Source organism: Homo sapiens, chromosome 5 (genome assembly GCF_000001405.40).
Source record: "Homo sapiens chromosome 5, GRCh38.p14 Primary Assembly".
In the NCBI taxonomy this organism is placed as follows: Eukaryota; Metazoa; Chordata; class Mammalia; order Primates; family Hominidae; genus Homo; species Homo sapiens.
The window spans coordinates 75098909-75117618 of NC_000005.10; the positions used below are offsets into that span (position 1 = coordinate 75098909).

Sequence of the window (18710 nt, forward strand, 5' to 3'; positions counted from 1 at the left end):
CAATACCCTTTATTTCTTTCTCCTGCCTGATTGCCCTGGCCAGAACTTCCAAAAGTATGTTGAATAGGAGTGGTGAGAGAGGGCATCCCTGTCTTGTGCCAGTTTTCAAAGGGAATGCTTCCAGTTTTTGCCCATTCAGTATGATATTGGCTGTGGGTTTGTCATAAATAGCTCTTATTATTTTGAGATACATCCCATCGATACCTAGTTTATTGGGAGTTTTTAGCATGAAGTATTGTTGACTTTTGTCACAGGCCTTTTCTGCATCTATTGAGATAATCATGGGGTTTTTGTCTTTGGTTCTGTTTATATGATGGATTACATTTATTGATTTGCGTATGTTGAACCAGCCTTGCATCCCAGGGATGAAGCCCACTTGATCATGGTGGATAAGCTTTTTGATGTGCTGCTGGATTCAGTTTGCCAGTATTTTATTGAGGATTTTTGCATCGATGTTCATCAGGGATATTGGTCTAAAATTCTCTTTTTTTGTTGTTTCTCTGCCAGGCTTTGGTATCAGGATGATGCTGGCCTCATCAAATGAGTTAGGGAGGATTCTCTCTTTTTCTATTGATTGGAATAGTTTCAGAAGGAATGATACCAGCTCCTCTTTGTACCTCTGATAGAACTCAGCTGTGAATCCATCTGGTCCTGGACTTTTTTTGGTTGGTAGGCTATTAATTATTGCTTCATTTTCAGAGCCTGTTATTGGTCTATTCAGGGATTCAACTTCTTCCTGGTTTAGTCTTGGGAGGGTGTATGTGTCCAGGAATTTATCCATTTCTTCTAGATTTTCTTGTTTATTTGCGTATAGGTGTTTATAGTATTCTCTGATGGTAGTTTGTATATCTGTGGGATTGGTGGTGATATAACCTTGATCATTTTTTATTGCGTCTATTTGACTCTTCTTTTTTATCAGTCTTGCTAGCGGTCTATCAATTTTGTTGATCTTTTCAAAAAACCAGCTCCTGAATTCATTGATTTTTTGAATGGTTTTTTGTGTCTCTATTTCCCTCAGTTCTGCTCTTATCTTAGTTATTTCTTGACTTCTGCTAGCTTTTGAATTTGTTTGCTCTTGCTTCTTTAGTTCATTTAATTGTGATGTTAGGGTGTCAATTTTAGGTCTTTCCTGCTTTCTCTTGTGGGCATTTAGTGCTATAAATTTCCCTCTACACACTGCTTTAAATGTGTCCCAGAGTTTCTGGTATGTAGTGTCTCTGTTCTCATTGGTTTCCAAGAACTTCTTTATTTCTGCCTTCATTTTGTTATGTACCCAGTAGTCATTCAGGAGCAGGTTGTTCAGTTTCCATGTATTTGAGCGGTTTTGAGTGAGTTTCTTAATCCTGAGTTCTAGTTTGATTGCACTGTGGTCTGAGAGACAGTTTGTTATAAATTCCATTCTTTTACATTTGCTGAGGAGTGCTTTACTTCCAACTATGTGGTCAATTTTGGAATAAGTGCAACGTGGTGCTGAGAAGAATGTATATTCTGTTGATTTGGGGTGGAGAGTTCTGTAGATGCCTATTAGGTCTGCTTGGTGCAGAGCTGAGTTCAATTCCTGCATATCCTTGTTAACTTTCTGTCTCGTTGATCTGTCTAATGTTGACAGTGGGGTGTTAAAGTCTCCCATTATTATTGTGTGGGGGTCTAAGTCTCTTTGTAGGTCTCTAAGGACTTGCTTTATGAATCTGGGTGCTCCTGTATTGGGTGCATATATATTTCGGATAGTTAGCTCTTCTTGTTGAATTGATCCCTTTACCATTACGTAATGGCCTTCTTTGTCTCTTTTGATCTTTGTTGGTTTAAAGTCTGTTTTATCAGAGATTAGGACTGCAACCTCTGCTTTTTTCTGTCTTCCATTTACTTGGTAGATCTTCCTCCATCCCTTTATTTTGAGCCTATGTGTGTCTCTGCACATCAGATGGGTCTCCTGAATACAGCACACTGATGGGTCTTGACTCTTTATCCAATTTGCCACTCTGTGTCTTTTAATTGGAGCATTTAGTCCATTTACATTTAAGGTTAATATTGTTATGTATGAATTTGATCCTGTTATTATGATGTTAGCTGGTTATTTTGCTCGTTAGTTGATGCAGTTTTTTCCTAGCATCGACGGTCTTTACAGTTTGGCATGTTTTTTGCAGTGGCTGGTACCAGCTGTTCCTTTCCATGTTTAGTGCTTCCTTCAGGAGCTCTTGTAAGGCAGGCCTGGTGGTGACAAAATCTCTCAGCATTTGCTTGTCTGTGAAGGATTTTATTTCTCCTTCACTTAGGAAGCTTAGTTTCGCTGGATATGAAATTCTGGGTTGAAAATTCTTTTCTTTAAGAATGTTGAATATTGGCCCCTACTCTCTTCTGGCTTGTAGAGTTTCTGCCAAGAGATCTGCTGTTAGTCTGATGGGCTTCCCTTTGTGGGTAACTTGACCTTTCTCTGTGGCTGCCCTTAACATTTTTTCCTTCATTTCAACTTTGGTGAATCTGACAATGATGTGTCTTGGAGTTGCTCTTCTTGAGGAGTATCTTTATGGTGTTCTCTGTATTTCTTAAATTTGAACGTTGGTCTGCCTTGGTAGGTTGGGGAAGTTCTCCTGGATAATATCCTGAAGAGTGTTTTCCAACTTGGTTCCATTCTCCCTCCCGTCACTTTCAGATACACCAATTAGATGCAGATTTGGTCTTTTCATATAGTCCCATAGTTCTTGGAGGCTTTGTCGTTTCTTTTTACTCTTTTTTCTCTAAACTTCTCCTCTCGCTTCATTTCATTCATTTGATCTTCAATCACTGATATCTTTTTTCCAGTTGATCAAATGGGCTACTGAAGCTTGTGCATGCGTCACGTAGTTCTCGTGCCATGGTTTTCAGCTCCATCAGGTTATTTAAGGTCTTCTCCACACTGTTTATTCTAGTTAGCCATTTGTCTAATCTTCTTTCAAGGTTTATAGCTTCTTTGCGATGGGTTCGAACATCCTCCTTTAGCTCGGAGAAGTCTGTTATTACCGATTGTCTGAAGCCTTCTCTCAACTTGTCAAAGTCATTTTCCATCCAGCTTTGTTCCGTTGCTGTTGAGGAGCTGCATTCCTTTGGAGGAGAAGAGGTGCTCTGATTTTTAGAATTTTCAGCTTTTCTGCTCTGGTTTCTCCCCATCTTTGTGGTTTTATCTACCTTTGGTCTTTGATGATGGTGACATACAGATGGGGGTTTGGTGTGGATGTCCTTTCTGTTTGTTAGTTTTCCTTCTAACAGTCAGGACCCTCAGCTGCAGGTCTGTTGGGAGTTTGCTGCAGGTCCACTCCAGATCCTGTTTGCCTGGGTATCACCAGCAGAGGCTGCAGAGCAGCCAATACTGCAGAACAGCAAATGTTCCTGCCTGATCCTTCCTCTGGAAGCTTCGTCTCAGAGGGGCGCCCAGCAGTATGAGGTGTCAGTTGGCCCTAATGGGAGATGCCTCCCAGTTAGGCTACTCAGGGGTCAGGGACCCACTTGAGGAGGCAGTCTGTCCATTCTCAGATCTCAAGCTCCATGCTGGAAGAACCACTACTCTCTTCAAAGCTGTCAGACAGGGACGTTTAAGTCTGCAGAAGTTTCTGCTGCTGTTTGTTCAGCTATGCCCTGCCCCCAGAGGTGGAGTCTACAGAGGCATGAAGGCCTCCTTGAGCTGTGGTGGCCTCCACCCAGTTCGAGCTTCCCGTCCACTTTGTTTACCTTCTCAAGCCTCAGCAATGGCGGACGCCACTCCCTCAGCCTTACTGCTGCCTTGCAGTTTGATCTCAGACTGCTGTGTTAGCAGTGAGTGAGGCTCTGTGGGCATGGGACCCTCCAAGCCAGGTGCAGGATATAATCTCCTGGTGTGCCGTTTGCTAAGACCACTGGAAAAGCACAGCATTAGGGTGGGAGTGTCCCGATTTTCCAGGTACCTTCTGCCATGGCTTCCCTTGGCTAGGAAAGGGAATTCCCGGACCCCTTGCACTTTCCTGGTGAGGTGATGCCCCACCCTGTTTCGGCTCACACTCTGTGGGCTGCACGCACTGTCCGATAAGCCCCAGTGAGATGAACCCTGTACCTCAGTTGGAAATGCAGAAATCACCCATCTTCTGAGTCGCTCACTCTGGGAGCTGTAGACTGGAGCTGTTCCTATTCGGCCATCTTGGAACCTCCAATCCTTTAATCCATCTTGAGTTAATTTTTGTATAAGGTGTAAGGAAGGGGTCCAGTTTCAATTTTCTGCATATGGCTAGCCAGTTCTCTCAGCACCATTTATTAAATAGGGAATCATTTCCCCATTGCTTGTTTTTGTCAGGTTTAAAGAAGGCATTCATATGGCCAACAAAGATATGAAAAAAAGCTCAACATCACTGATCATTAGACAAATGCAAATCAAAACCACAATGAGATACCCTCTCACACCACTCAGAACAGCGATTATTAAAAAGTCAAGAAACAACTGATGCTGGCGAGGTTGCAGATAAATAGGAATGCTTTTACACTGTTGGTGGGAATGTAAATTAGTTCAACCATTGTGAAAGACAGTGTAGCGATTCCTCAAAGATCTAGAACCAGAAATACCATTTGCCCCAGCAATCCAATTACTGGGCATATACCCAAAGGAATATAAATTATTCTGTTACAAAGATACATGCACATGTATGTTCACTGCAGCACTATTCACAATAGCAAAGACATGGAATCAACCCAAATGCCCATTGATGATAGACCAGATAAAGAAAATGTGGTGCATATACACCATGGAATACTATGCAGCCATAAAAAGGAACGAGATCATGTCCTCTGCAGAGACATGAATGGAGCTGGAAGCCATTATCTTCAGCAAACTAACGCAAGAACATAAGACCAAACGCTGCATGTTCTCACTTATAAGTGGGAGCTGAACAATGAGAACACGTGAACACAGGGAGGGGAACAGCACATACTGGGGCCTGTTGGGGAGTGCAGTTGGGGGAGGGAGAGCATTAGGAAAAATAGCTAATGCATGCTGGGCTTAATACCTACGTTATGGGTTGACAGGTGCAGCAAACCACCATGCCACTCATTTACCTATGTAACAAACTTGCACATCCTGCACATGTATCCTGGAACTTAAAAATTAAAATTAAAAAAAGGAAAATAAAAATAAATGTATCAGGGCAATTCCAGAAATATGAATTCACTTGCTAAGAATACAATGGTTGTGTCCCTCCATTCAGGAAGCTCAGCAAAACCCCATTTCCCTAATCAGAGCTAAATGTCTATATTATGTGACAGCAACATTTACTCACTTATTTATAAAATTTGCATGATTTTAGAGAAAAAAATATAGAATACCTGTGTTTTGAATTCCAGAATGTTATTTCCTGGGTTAATTCTTCCTAGTAATATCAAATCTTTTATCTGAATACATTTCTTTTTAGGAGCTGTACTGTAGTTTAAAGCCTTTTTTATTGTATCTTGTTGCCCAGATCCAGAGGAAGAGGAGATCTGACTGTCATCTGCACATGGAACAACAGAAACTGATTTTTTAAGATATGGTTTCATCTGATGCACTGTATCACTGCCTAAGACAGCAATCCCTTGATGTGCCAGAGATTCTGATGCCCCTGTAGGTGATTGCTGGGAACTTGTTTTTCTGTTTCCTCTTTTGGGATCATAATTGGAAAGGTCCTGATCACAAATAATATTTGATGGATGGGCAGCATTTTCGGCAAGGACACTTGCAGTTTCTGAAATATTTAATTTGCCGATTACTGGGGAAGAAACATAGAATTCATGGTCTTTGTCTGTAGCTTCTGTAAGATCATTCTCTTTCTGTGAATATTCTGTTTGACCAATAAAAGCAACAGGTTGGGATGGTAATTTATTCTTCTCTGTGCCATCTGAATGTCTGGATTTTGGAAAACCATCCAAGGTACAATCACTGCCATTTTGTTTAGAATTCATATCATTTCCAGAAAATTCTCCCCTTCTCACTGCCTCTGAATTTAGACAAATGTTGGTATTTTGGCTGTAGTTCCAAGTTTCCAGAGACAATTGTGTTTCCTGCATGCTTCCAGAAACAGGAGAAAGTGAACCTGATTGGGGATGCTCTAAATTTTCCAGACTAGTGAGCTCTTGGCTGTCTTTTTCACTAGAGATTTCTGATCTGGGTGGGAGCTTCCTTAAACTAAGACAAGGCAATGATGTAACATTCCTACAGTTTTGAATTTTCAGGCTTATTTTTTTCTGTTTTTTTGCCACAACTAAAAGGCTCTTCTGTCTTGCAGCCAAGTTGGCCAATTGTTCTCTCAGGGCTCCATGCTTAAATGACTCTATGGATACCCTATAGGAAGAAACAGAAAGAGAAAAAATGCAATAACAGCAGAAAACTTTTCAAAGCGGTCACTTAGAGGTTAAAGATACTTTGTCTCCAAATTTTAATCACTTTAAAATACACAAAACTATGCCTGTGCAATTTACTGCCTTTGATTTTTTTAATCTGACCACCTGCAGCCTGTTGACGCAAAATATTTCCTTTGAGAGGAAGCTGATTCCTTTATTTAAGTAAATGTGCCCTTTTTTTAAGGAGGTGACAGTAAGGTTATCAAGATTTTATATTCATACAATTATTATCAATTGGGAGTCAACTCTAAAAGACAAACAAAACTTGGATCATCTATCTAAACATCTATTTAGTCGTTGGTTGGAAGGTAGCAATTGGTGGCTAAGGAGAGCCATCGTTCTTTAAATTTGGGGCTTGCTTACCTGTTTATTAGTAAGTACAATTTGAAAGTTCTATTCAGGTTCTCTTAGCTTTGGAAGAACAAGATTGTTTTGTGAATAATCATACTTCAGCTGGACCTGAGAAAAGTTAGTTCCCCAAGTAATTACTGTAGTTGTATTTTGAACCTGTATGAAGACACTTCCAAGTCCAGAGGGACTACCGAGGAAAGCATCATTCTGTGTGTCTTCCCCAAACTGAATTTCTCAAGACCTTGAGGACTAAGAAAGAGGAAATGGCTTTTCACATCTTCATACTTTTGTCTTTTGATTATGCCCACCAATCCCACCCTGACCTTCAGATTATTGGACACTTTGTTTTCAGTGGTTCTCAAACTTTTTGGTCTTGGGAACTACTTGTACTCTTCAAAATTACTGAGGAACCCAAACAGCTTTTGTGTATATGAATATCTATCAGTATTTACTGTTTTAGAAATTAAAACTGAGAAACTTTTTAAACAAAAGAATACACAACACATTCTATCAGGCTTTATCATATATCATGTGGCATCTGAAAAATTCCACTGTACATTCACGAGAGAATGAGAGCAAGAGAGCAATAACATCTTACTATTATTATTAAAAAATAGTTTTGACTTCACAGATCCTGTGAAATGGTCTCAGGAACCCCACCATGGGTCCCTGGACCACAGTTTAAGAGCTGCTGTTTTAAGGAAAAGCAATAATATAGATATATCTTGCCTCTCCTATCAAGGTTTAGAGCTGATACTAAATTCCCAGCAGACTGGATGTTAAAAGAAGTAGTATACATAAGTGAAAAAGTCAGCAAGAAGAAGGATTCATATTAGCAAACAACTGGTAGCATAAAATGCAAAAGAAATACATAATATCAAACTTAAAACTATGTGAAACAAGGAGTTCAGACACAAAACTTAAGATTATCCACACCAAGATGTGAAGTCTCATAGCAATATTAATAAGAATTTACGTATTGAAACTCCAATTGATCAGGAACTTTTGAAAATTCCAGGTATAGTACATGGTTAACCACAGGACACTAAAGGAAATTCAAGCAAGCCTCTCCAAAGTCCCCTAAAATTACCCATATGTAGGTTATATAAGCTCACTGCTTTATATTGACAGGAAAACAAGAAGGAAACAGAAGGGAACTTGTGTTAGCTATTCACTGGAGAAGAAGGCAAAATGGGGATTAAAAATAAAAATAGAAAATTGATTTTTTAAAATAAGTTCAGAAAAAAATTGAATATGTAATAGACATTAAATGATTATAGGAGAAGAATATATAAGGACATGTTTAGAAAACTGAATGTGAATAAAGAATAGGGAGTGTAAGTAGCTAAGCCTATTAAAAACTAATAAAAAATAATGCCCAAACAAGAAAAAAACATGTAACATTTTTTTCACAAAAAAATATGAGAAGAGGTATATAACCAATATAATCAGGATAAAACTCTTTAAGGACCTTGAGATTTTAGAAATACAATAAAACACAAAATTAATCAACTGATTGATCAACTGCTTAGAAGGACGTTTGTGACAGCAAAAAAGAAACTTTTTTAGTGTAGAAAATTTGAGTGTGCTAAAGAAATAAATTTGCCTGTGGGATTCACAACCAGAAAGGCTTTCATAAAATTCTCCACTGTAGACAACTTTTTAAGATACCGAAATGTTCTTTTTTGACTATCCCAAGTAATAGTGTAGAAAAATACCTTTCTGGGAAGTATAATTTTCCATGGTAGTAACGGATTAGACAACCTCATAAAGTCATTATTTGGCCCCAAGCAGTGTTTGTATTCTTAAGAAATTCTAGACAACTATTGCAGCTAAAAATGGATAAATTCTAGAAACTCAAAAGCACTCTTTTTTTTTCTTTTTCTACTCACCTGTATTTTTTAGCCAGATCATCCCTTTCTGCTTTCTGCTTGGCAAGCACATTATCCATAATCTTTTTTATCTTTAACATCTTTTCAATGTATTGTTCTAGAAACATGACAATAAAAAGTTAGCTAACTGAGGGAGAGTGAATGTCAAATTTGGTCATACGAGAATTAGCCCTATTGTTAATTTTAAAAAGCGTTATTCCCTATGATCTTCCCCAATATTAATAGCCCAGATATCTCAATTAAGGCTTATTTAACAATGTCAATCTATGGAAATGCCCTGAAGTGTATAGATAAGAATGCTGTAAAACAGTAGGCCAGCCTGAGTTCTAATCCTGCTGCCCCACTAAGTTCTGTGAGCCTGGACATGTAACTTATATGGTTAGCTTTCTTACCTGTGAAATGAAGGTAGTAAAGGAAGATATTTTGTTTGTTAAAATTATTTCATTTTTTTAAAATACAAAAGGAATACATTAACATTGTAAAATTTTTTCAAGCCATATAAATATTTACATAGATGAAAAGTAAGAGTATCCCTACTCACCCCACTGCTTCTTCTCTAATTTATTCAACAAGGGTGGTTACTGTTAATACTTTAGGGGTATGTATGTTTGTAAAATTTGTGTTATATATTTATTATTTTAAATACTTACACTATATATAATTATACATTATATGCACTTAAAAAATAGAATTTTTTAATTCTAAAAATAGAATCATGCTATCAGTTCTTGTTCTTTGCATTTATAACATTTACATTGTACTATATGATACCTAAGGTCACCTATAGATCTTACAAACCACCATTACAATAATTACTTAAATTTTCCCGACTTTCTTCCTTTGCTTTCCAAGTAAAGGCATAATGACCTTTCTCCCAACACAGATCCACATGATTACCCATAAATGTGGGTTATGTACAAATCCAGATTCCCAAGTAGGAAACTGAAAGGGTTAAATGCATATATTTTAATTCTTTTAAGCTACTTGTTGTTTCTTTCACTTTCGGCTTTCTTTCTTAAAATTTTTCCTAATTTTTTGGACCAATGCACATTTTTCTGGTTAAAGTAACTTGAGAAAATCTGTGGTAGAAAATGACATGAAGTTCAGAGGTAGAATTTGTTTTAGAAATTCCCTCAGCAAATCAGACACATGATTTGGTAAGTATTGAGTCAGTGTCCTCAGAGCAGTTTCTATTGCCCTAATACTGTGGCTGAGGATTAGTTTCACGACATGATGCATATGCTAACAAAGGGGGAAAATGTGTACAATCAATAAGAATTTAGACATAATTTTGTTCAGCAGATTTGACACTGTTTATTAAAAGACATTTTAAATTATCTATGTGCCCTGTCATCCCAGCTTTTCCAACTGAATTTTAAACCATAGGTAAAAATAACATACTATAGTAACTTAAAATATTCTGTATGTTTCTCTAAGAAACAACAGAAATAAATTTTATATATAATTTGGTATCACACACTTCTTTATCAAAGATGATATTAATCAATGGTATATTAAAGAGAATCTAGAATTGTCCTAATATGTGTAAGATTTTAATACTTCATTAGACATTACAAAACAATGAGGATGAGAGAAATTATTCAACAAATAGGGATGAGTAATAGGGTAGTAATACGGAGTAAACCTATTCTATCCTTATCTTAAATACAGAAAAAAATTTCAGATGAATTATGCATTAAAATACTTAGGGAAAAATATACAAAATGTTAACAATGGCAATTTTCTGCCTCAGTTCAGTTGAAGCAGTTCAGTTGACAACTGATAGAAAAGTGAGTGCAAGGTCTCTTTAAGAAAAATTTTCAAAGAAATGTACAAAATGGGACTCATTACTCAGATCCCTCAGCCAGATCAAAGCTATCACAAGTGTCAGATGTGGAGGAGGGTGAGTCTGAAAAAAGATTTCTTTAGAGAGCAGTTGTTTACCTGAGTGGGAATCTGCATATTCAGCAGCAAGAGTAAGGGGTAAAGGGTCTTCTCTTCTTTACCTCAAGCCTAATAGGGTAAGTTCCTCAAAAGATTATTTAGAGAACCTAGCTGAACTCTAAGTTGACATGACAATGAATTGGTATCTGGCTTCCTTCTTGAACACCTAGAGACCTTGAAAAATGAGGAGCTACCACAGCAGGGCCAAAAGAAAGTTGCTGCTGAGCTGAGAAGTAATTGTCTTCCCTTCTAACAATGGGCCTGAGGTGCAAAGGTCCTGAGGACTTGTTGTGAAGCCTGCCCTGTGACCCTGCCTATGAGGGCTTCCATCTGAGAGTGAGAGTCTGTGTAGGATGGTCCATCAGAAAAAAAAAATAGAAGCTGAGAGAAGACTGAGAGGGCACAGGGAAAGGGCAATGTGTATTGCCCGCATCATAGAAGTTCCAGCCTGATGGACCAAAGAGAAATTTCAGAAGAGTCTTAGAAAACTGCTCTCCAGAGACTGAGTTTTAAACACCTGTCAGGGAGTGGCAGAGCCAACCACAGTCAGTAATTAGTTACCATCCAAGAGCTCCAGGGTCCCACTGCCTTACCTCTCCTTCCTTAAGGGCAGTAAGACAAAAATAAAGGCATCAAGATTATTCAATGTACTGGTTATAATATAATAAAATTAAACTACAAAAACCTGGGGGTGGTGGGGAGAAGTTTCTGATTTTAGAGGCATTCAAATAAATAGAAAAAGGCCAATGAATTTTTACTCTACAGAATTTGTAATTGTATATATTTAAACAAAAACTAACACACATTGCAAAGAAAAAGACAAGTGGCTGAAAAAGTATTTGCAGCAGTTATGGTAGAGAAGGAGTAAATAACTGTATTACATAAATAGGCTCCACTTGATGAATAAACAAAGAACAGAAACAGTTCTCAAAATAGGGAATAAAACTAGTGAAAAAGCACCACTGGGCCAGGCGCAGTGGCTCATGCCTGTAATCCCAGCACTTTGGGAGGTCGAGGTGGGCCGATTACAAGGTCAAGAGATCGAGACCATCCTGACCAACATGGTGAAACCCTGTCTTTACTAAAAATACAAAAATTAGCTGGGCATGGTGCATGCGCCTGTATTCCCAGCTACTCGGGAGGCTGAGGCAGAAGAATGGCTTGAACCTGGGAGGCGGAGGTTCCAGTGAGCTGAGATCACACCACTGCACTCCAACCTGGTGACAGAGTGAAACTCCATCTCAAAAAAAAAAGCACCACTAATAAGCAACATGGCAAATGAAAATATCAGGCATATTTTTCTTATTAAACTCGTAAGGTTATTTAAAATGAAAATACTGATGCTACTAGCAGTGTACACAAAGACACTAATGTGTACACTGCTAGTAGCATCAGTATTTTCACTTCCAAACTGAAAATTAGTACTATCTATAAAATAGAATTTATCAATATAAATCAATAGATTTAAAATGCTTATATAATTTGACCAATAGTTACAACTCTGTTAATCTTTCCTAAGAAGATAATACGTGTGGAAAAAGCTACATATTGTAGAACAGCAAAAAATTGGAAATCAAATGTTCAACAAAAAGGGAAAAATTTAGGAAGCTGTGGAACATTTATTAAACACTAAGAATGAAGACTATGAAAAAAATGCAAAATTACCATATATATCATGATCAAAACTATGTTTTTAAGAGTTTTATTGAGGTCCAATTGCATTACTATGTTCTTAGACAAAAAAAAAAATGTGGGGAGGGGGGCCTGGAAATAAAACAACAAAATATTGTGATGGGACAGTAGCTAATTTTAGCATTTTTCTCTTTTTCTCGAAGTATATCTGTATGACTTTCATAATGAAAAAAATTATAAACTTGGAAAAATCATCTTGGATGCAAAAGACATTACAAATAGTAAATGAAATAAATATACTAACTGTACTTTTTTGTTTGGGGGTATGAATTATTTTATATTAGTTTCCTCCAAACATAACACGTACCATGTTAGGCCAGGACGAAAAGTAGAATGTGCAAAATTTTAAAGGAGATGATTTTTTTAAAGACTATACAAACATGAGTTAGGACAAGAGATGAACAGTTATATCCTGCTATACAAAAGGTTGATGAGGTACTTTAAATTACCTTACTTTTAGCTACTACTTTTAACTAATTTTTACATTCACAGATCTGAATTTATCAGGAACTACTTTCCACCTTATAAATCATAACTCAAAAAATATGTGAGTCATCAAGGGCTTGCATATATTCACTGAAGTTTGAGAAAATAAGATTATTAGGTCAGTGATCAAAGTCTAATTTGCTATTTTGAATCTTCAGTGTTTTGAAAACAGGAAGATATCTTTGCAGTAAGACATCCACCTGTTACATATGCTCTTCTGAAAGTAGGAGGATTTGCTTACCTTGTGTCACTGCTGCACCACCTTCCACTGCACTATTTCTGATCTACTTTTAAGGGTTACCATAGCTGGGTGAAGCTGACAACACACAGGGTAACATAATCTCATCTCTTGTCACAATCTTACATTTTCTGTCATAGGATTATCTAAACATATCACTGGTATAGCTTATCTCTGATCATAGTTCTGAATGTCTCTCAAATTACTCATCCAACACTTTGCATCTAGAAGTATTTTTTTTTCTCTGTCACCCAGGCTAGAGTGCAGTGGCGCGATCTTGGCTCACTGTAAGCTCCGCCTCCAGGGTTCATGCCATTCTCCTGCCTCAGCCTCCCGAGTAGCTGGCACTACAAGCGCCCGCCAGCATCTAGAAGTATCTTTAACAACACAAACTACTGGTTTGCATCATGATAAAATCAGCCTTTTAGCTATCATTACAAGTCTACTTGAGACTTACTTTTAAAGTAAGTCTACTTTTAATGATATTAATAATTCCTAGCACTTTAAATACTCTCACATAAAAATAGAACACCACTTTTTCAGCCTTTGTGAGCTTTGAAATAAATATGTACCTTAAGAAGATGACCTTGGGTATCTGAAAATATCATACTTGAGTATGAGTCTATATTTACCTGCATCTTCAGGGTTTCTTATTTCAAACTCTAATAAATATTCTTGTTTTTCTTCTATATCTTGTAGAATGGCACTGAGGGTCTGATGCTATCAGATAAAAATATTTGAAACTTCATTATAAAGGGGTAGATATGCTCTCTGATATGCCATTGACAAACACAGAGTAAATAAAATACTAAAGAAAGTGTTCCTAAAAATGCTCATTCCTCTTTATGCTCAAAATGTACTCATACGTTGTATAAGCTTAACTGTATAAATGTTGCAGATTTGAACAAAAGCAAACAAATATATTTTGAATTATGTAGTAGATCTCCTGGAAAATAGAATGTAAAAGTAGCAATCACAAGAAATCAATTTCTCACTGACTTCTGTTGAAACTATAGGTGTAGGAGAAAAATAAATCACATAACATTGAAAGTGCATACATATAACAAGTTCACTTTAAGGCCTTATGATTTTCATTGCACACTATTAAAATCTTATACATAATCTTAGAAATACAAAACACTATGCTCTCAAAAATTCACAAAGGGGACTTAATACCACTCCTACATGTCCTTGTCAGTACTAATCTTCCTGCCTGGAATGCTTTCAATTCACTCTGCCCTGATCCTTCTCTTTCCCTATGAGAGAGAGAATCGTGGAGTGGGCTCTGGAACCAGACTTTCAGGGTGTAAATCCTAGCTTCACCTCTTCCTATCTGGGTGACTCCAGCAAGTTACTTGTCCTCTCTGTGCCTGAATTCTATAACACATGAAAATGCTAAGGACAATGTCAGCACAAAGTAAGAATCCACTAAATAGTGAATATTATAATCATATAAAACCCATCTCATACAGGAAACTTCTGACTTATCCAATCCATGCTGATTTCCTTTTTCTCAGAATTAAGAAATTCGGTGCTACATAATTTAACACTAACATAATAATGTCTTGTACATTATATTTCCTCATCAGGACAATGAGATCTTGTAGGCAGAAGCATGCCTTTTATATTTGTATATGGTTTCAACATTGTGGGTTCATAGCTATTGCTCCATTAATGATGACGGATGGTTTGACTCACATTACCTATCCTTTAATATACTCTCCATACACATTCATTTCTAAAACATGTAGGTCCTCAAAGCCTTCTGAAGTATGTTGCCCTGAAATTTTACTTTGGTGCCCATAAAAGATATTTTAAAAGTACATAATAAAATAACCTAATTATTTGGTAAAACAGTCTTACTGCTGTCATTTATTAAATGCATCAAAGTGAAATTATAAAATACAAATATAAAAAACAAGCAAAAATAAAAACAACACTAAGGTTTACCGCTTCATACAGTGAATGATTTATGGTTATAAAAGCAAACAAAAGGCCAGAATTTGTGCTCAGGCTAAGCTCTATCCACAGATTAGGATAAAGAAAACATCTTTTGGTGCCAACTTTCCTTTCTCCTTTGCTCATATTGTAGATGTACTCAGTCTCGGACACTGTGGGCCAAGACTTATCTAAAACAAGGTTTCATTGAGGATGCTACCTTGGTTAAGATTTTGTGTCTAGTTAAGCTTTGTGTTTTTGTCCAACTAAGAATTTCAATCAATATGTATATCTTATTAAGCAACTGCTATGTTCTTTTTTTTCAAAAGTTACCTTTACATGATGGGTTTCGCAGCAAAGTTTATTACTATAAACCATATGGGATCGAGGGCAGCTAAACCAGGCTGCTTAATCCTCTTCTCTGTCTGGATTCCAGAATCTTTTCTACATCCTGTATCTCCTAGACACTTATGGAAGTGAGTGAAGACACATTTATGACAGTGGCAGTGTCTATGGACAAGAAGTAGCCAAAGAACTCAAACTAGGTATAAAGGATAGCAGCTACTCCATAATTCTGTATTCAAAGCAGATAATTAAGAGTTAACCACATAGCATAACTTCCAGCCCATTCTGTTCACCATCTTATCTTTTATAATAAAAAAATTCATTGATTTTGTATCCTGAGACTTTGCTGAAGTTGCTTATCAGCTTAAGGAGATTTTGGGCTGAGACAATGGGGTTTTCTAGATATACAATCAACGTACAAAAATCACAAGCATTCTTATACACCAACAACAGACAAACAGAGAGCCAAATCATGAGTGAACTCCCATTCACAATTGCTTCAAAGAGAATAAAATACCTAGGAATCCAACTTACAAGGGATGTGAAGGACCTCTTCAAGGAGAACTACAAACCGCTGCTCAACGAAATAAAAGAGGATACAAACAAATGGAAGAACATTCCATGCTCATGGATAGGAAGAATCAATATTGTGAAAATGGCCATACTGCCCAAGGTAATTTACAGATTCAATGCCATCCCCATCAAGCTACCAATGACTTTCTTCACAGAATTGGAAAAAACTACTTGAAAGTTCATATGGAACCAAAAAAGAGCCCGCATCGCCAAGTCAATCCTGAGCCAAAAGAACAAAACTGGAGGCATCACACTACCTGACTTCAAACTATACTACAAGGCTACAGTAACCAAAACAGCATGGTATTGGTACCAAAACAGAGATATAGATCAATGGAACAGAACAGAGCCCTCAGAAATAACGCTGCATATCTACAACTATCTGATCTTTGACAAACCTGAGAAAAACAAGCAATGGGGAAAGGATTCCCTATTTAATAAATGGTGCTGGGAAAACTGGCTAGCCATATGTAGAAAGCTGAAACTGGATCCCTTCCTTACACCTTATACAAAAATCAATTCAAGATGGATTAAAGACTTAAATGTTAGACCTAAAACCATAAAAACCCTAGAAGAAAACCTAGGCATTACCATTCAGGACATAGGCATGGGCAAGCACTTCATGTCTAAAACACCAAAAGCAATGGCAACAAAAGCCGAAATAGACAAATGGGATCTAATTAAACTAAAGAGCTTCTGCACAGGAAAAGAAACTACCATCAGAGTGAACAGGCAACCTACAAAATGGGAGAAAATTTTTGCAACCTACTCATCTGACAAAGGGCTAATATCCAGAATCTACAATGAACTCAAACAAATTTACAAGAAAAAAACAAACAACCCCATCAAAAAGTGGGCAAAGGACATGAACAGACACTTCTCAAAAGAAGACATTTATGCAGACAAAAAACACATGAAAAAATGCTAACCATCACTGGCCATCAGAGAAATGCAAATCAAAACCACAATGAGATACCATCTCACACCAGTTAGAATGGCAATCATTAAAAAGTCAGGAAACAACAGGTGCTGGAGAGGATGTGGAGAAATAGGAACACTTTTATACTCTTGGTGGGACTGTAAACTAGTTCAACCATTGTGCAAGTCAGTGTGGCGATTCCTCAGGGATCTAGAACTAGAAATACCATTTGACCCAGCAATCCCATTACTGGGTATATACCCAAAGGATTATAAATCATGCTGCTATAAAGACACATGCACACGTATGTTTGTTGCGGCATTATTCACAATAGCAAAGACTTGGAACCAACCCAAATGTCCAACAATGATAGACTGGATTAAGAAAATGTGGCACATATACACCATGGAATACTATGCAGCCATAAAAAAGGATGAGTTCATGTCCTTTGTAGGGACATGGATGAAATTGGAAATCATCATTCTCAGTAAACTATCACAAGAACAAAAAACCAAACACCGCATATTCTCACTCATAGGTGGGAATTGAACAATGAGAACACATGGACACAGGAAGGGGAACATCACACTCTGGGGACTGTTGTGGGGTGGGGGGAGGGGGGAGGGATAGCATTGGGAGATACACCTAATGCTAGATGACAAGTTAGTGGGTGCAGCGCACCAGCATAGCACATGTATACATATGTAACTAACCTGCACATTGTGCACATGTACCCTAAAACTTAAAGTATAATAATAATAAAAAATAAATAAATAAATAAAATAAATAAAAAATTTCTATCTTTGTATCATTAAAATGGAAAGTACTGCCATTAGCCAATAACTAACTGGCTGGCTCAAAGAATGGCATTTTCTAAGATGAAGAACAAAGTAATTTTAACTTCACTCACCACAGAAAGGCTTTCTCTTGATCTTTCTTGGTGTGAAAGGGAAGATGAGTCAATAGTTTTGCCATCATCACAAAAACACTGTTTATGTCTTTTAGACCGGACAGCAGGAATTTTTTCTTTAAAAAGTAAAATTAGAAAATATAATAAGAATGTGCAAAAATATAGTTTCATTTTTCAGTTTTAATGTGATGGGGATGAGAAGGATAAGTCAAGTCTGCAACTATTATAATATCTTAACCAACACTCATCATCGTCATTAATTGGCTACTTATGGCTAGCATTTACTGAGCACTTGTCATATGCTGGGTGCCAAAAACTTTCCATAAATCATCTTATTTAATCTTCATATGAACCTGTGAAGTAGGTAGTTTATTATATCCATTTTATAGAAGAGGAAAGTGAGGCTTAGAGGGGTTCAAGAAGTTGCCCAATGTCACACAGTTAGAACTGAAACCAGATCTTATCTGATTCCAAAGTCCATGCTCTTAACCAATATGACTGGATTAATTGCCTCTGTAAAGTTCTCTTGGACCCTACTCCCATTCTGGATTCCCTTTCTCTATATTATCATTGTACCCTATATTCTTCATCCTTTGGGGTACCTGATCAAGGAAACAAGAAACAGTAGATATGTGGGAATAGATCTATCACTTTATAATAGATCTATCAACAACTCCAAATGCAGACTTCCCTGATAAGCTGAGCTAATCTAAATCATGGGAACTTTCAGGTATAGCTGTGAAGAGGGAGAGTGAAATGGCTGGGCCTCTAAGAAAGACCCTGACCCTATGGACTTACTATATGGAAGCAGGCAACGAAAAGAGGAAATTTGTATCACTCTTGACCTTGACCTATCCATGATCTAGCCCTCTGGTGAAATATAACACAATGAATATCCTTAGCTCTGACGAATTATATCGGTAATTCTTCCTTGGAAATCAACAGTTGGTAAGGATGTTGGTAGGCTAGGGGAGAAGTGTGTGACACAATTGCTCTCCCCAGCATTCTCCCTCATGGTGAGAATATAGATACATTCCTGAGTATCTTCTTCTA

General features: G+C 37.3%; 1 protein-coding gene across 15 annotated transcripts in view; it reads right to left on the reverse strand.

The window, feature by feature from the left end:
* ANKRD31 (ankyrin repeat domain 31) overlaps positions 1 to 18710 on the reverse strand; it is a 168582-nt gene that overhangs the window by 30612 nt on the left and 119260 nt on the right. For 14 of the 15 annotated variants that reach the window (NM_001164443.1, NM_001372053.1, XM_017009319.2 and 11 more), the window contains 4 exons: positions 17658 to 17773; positions 13605 to 13692; positions 8613 to 8709; positions 5320 to 6310 (listed from right to left, as the gene is read on the reverse strand). In NM_001164443.1, the coding sequence (NP_001157915.1) occupies positions 5320 to 6310; positions 8613 to 8709; positions 13605 to 13692; positions 17658 to 17773 (1292 nt within the window). Of the gene's footprint in view, positions 1 to 5319; positions 6311 to 8612; positions 8710 to 13604; positions 13693 to 17657; positions 17774 to 18710 lie in introns of those variants that run through there. The other variant, XM_017009322.3, reaches the window with a different exon arrangement.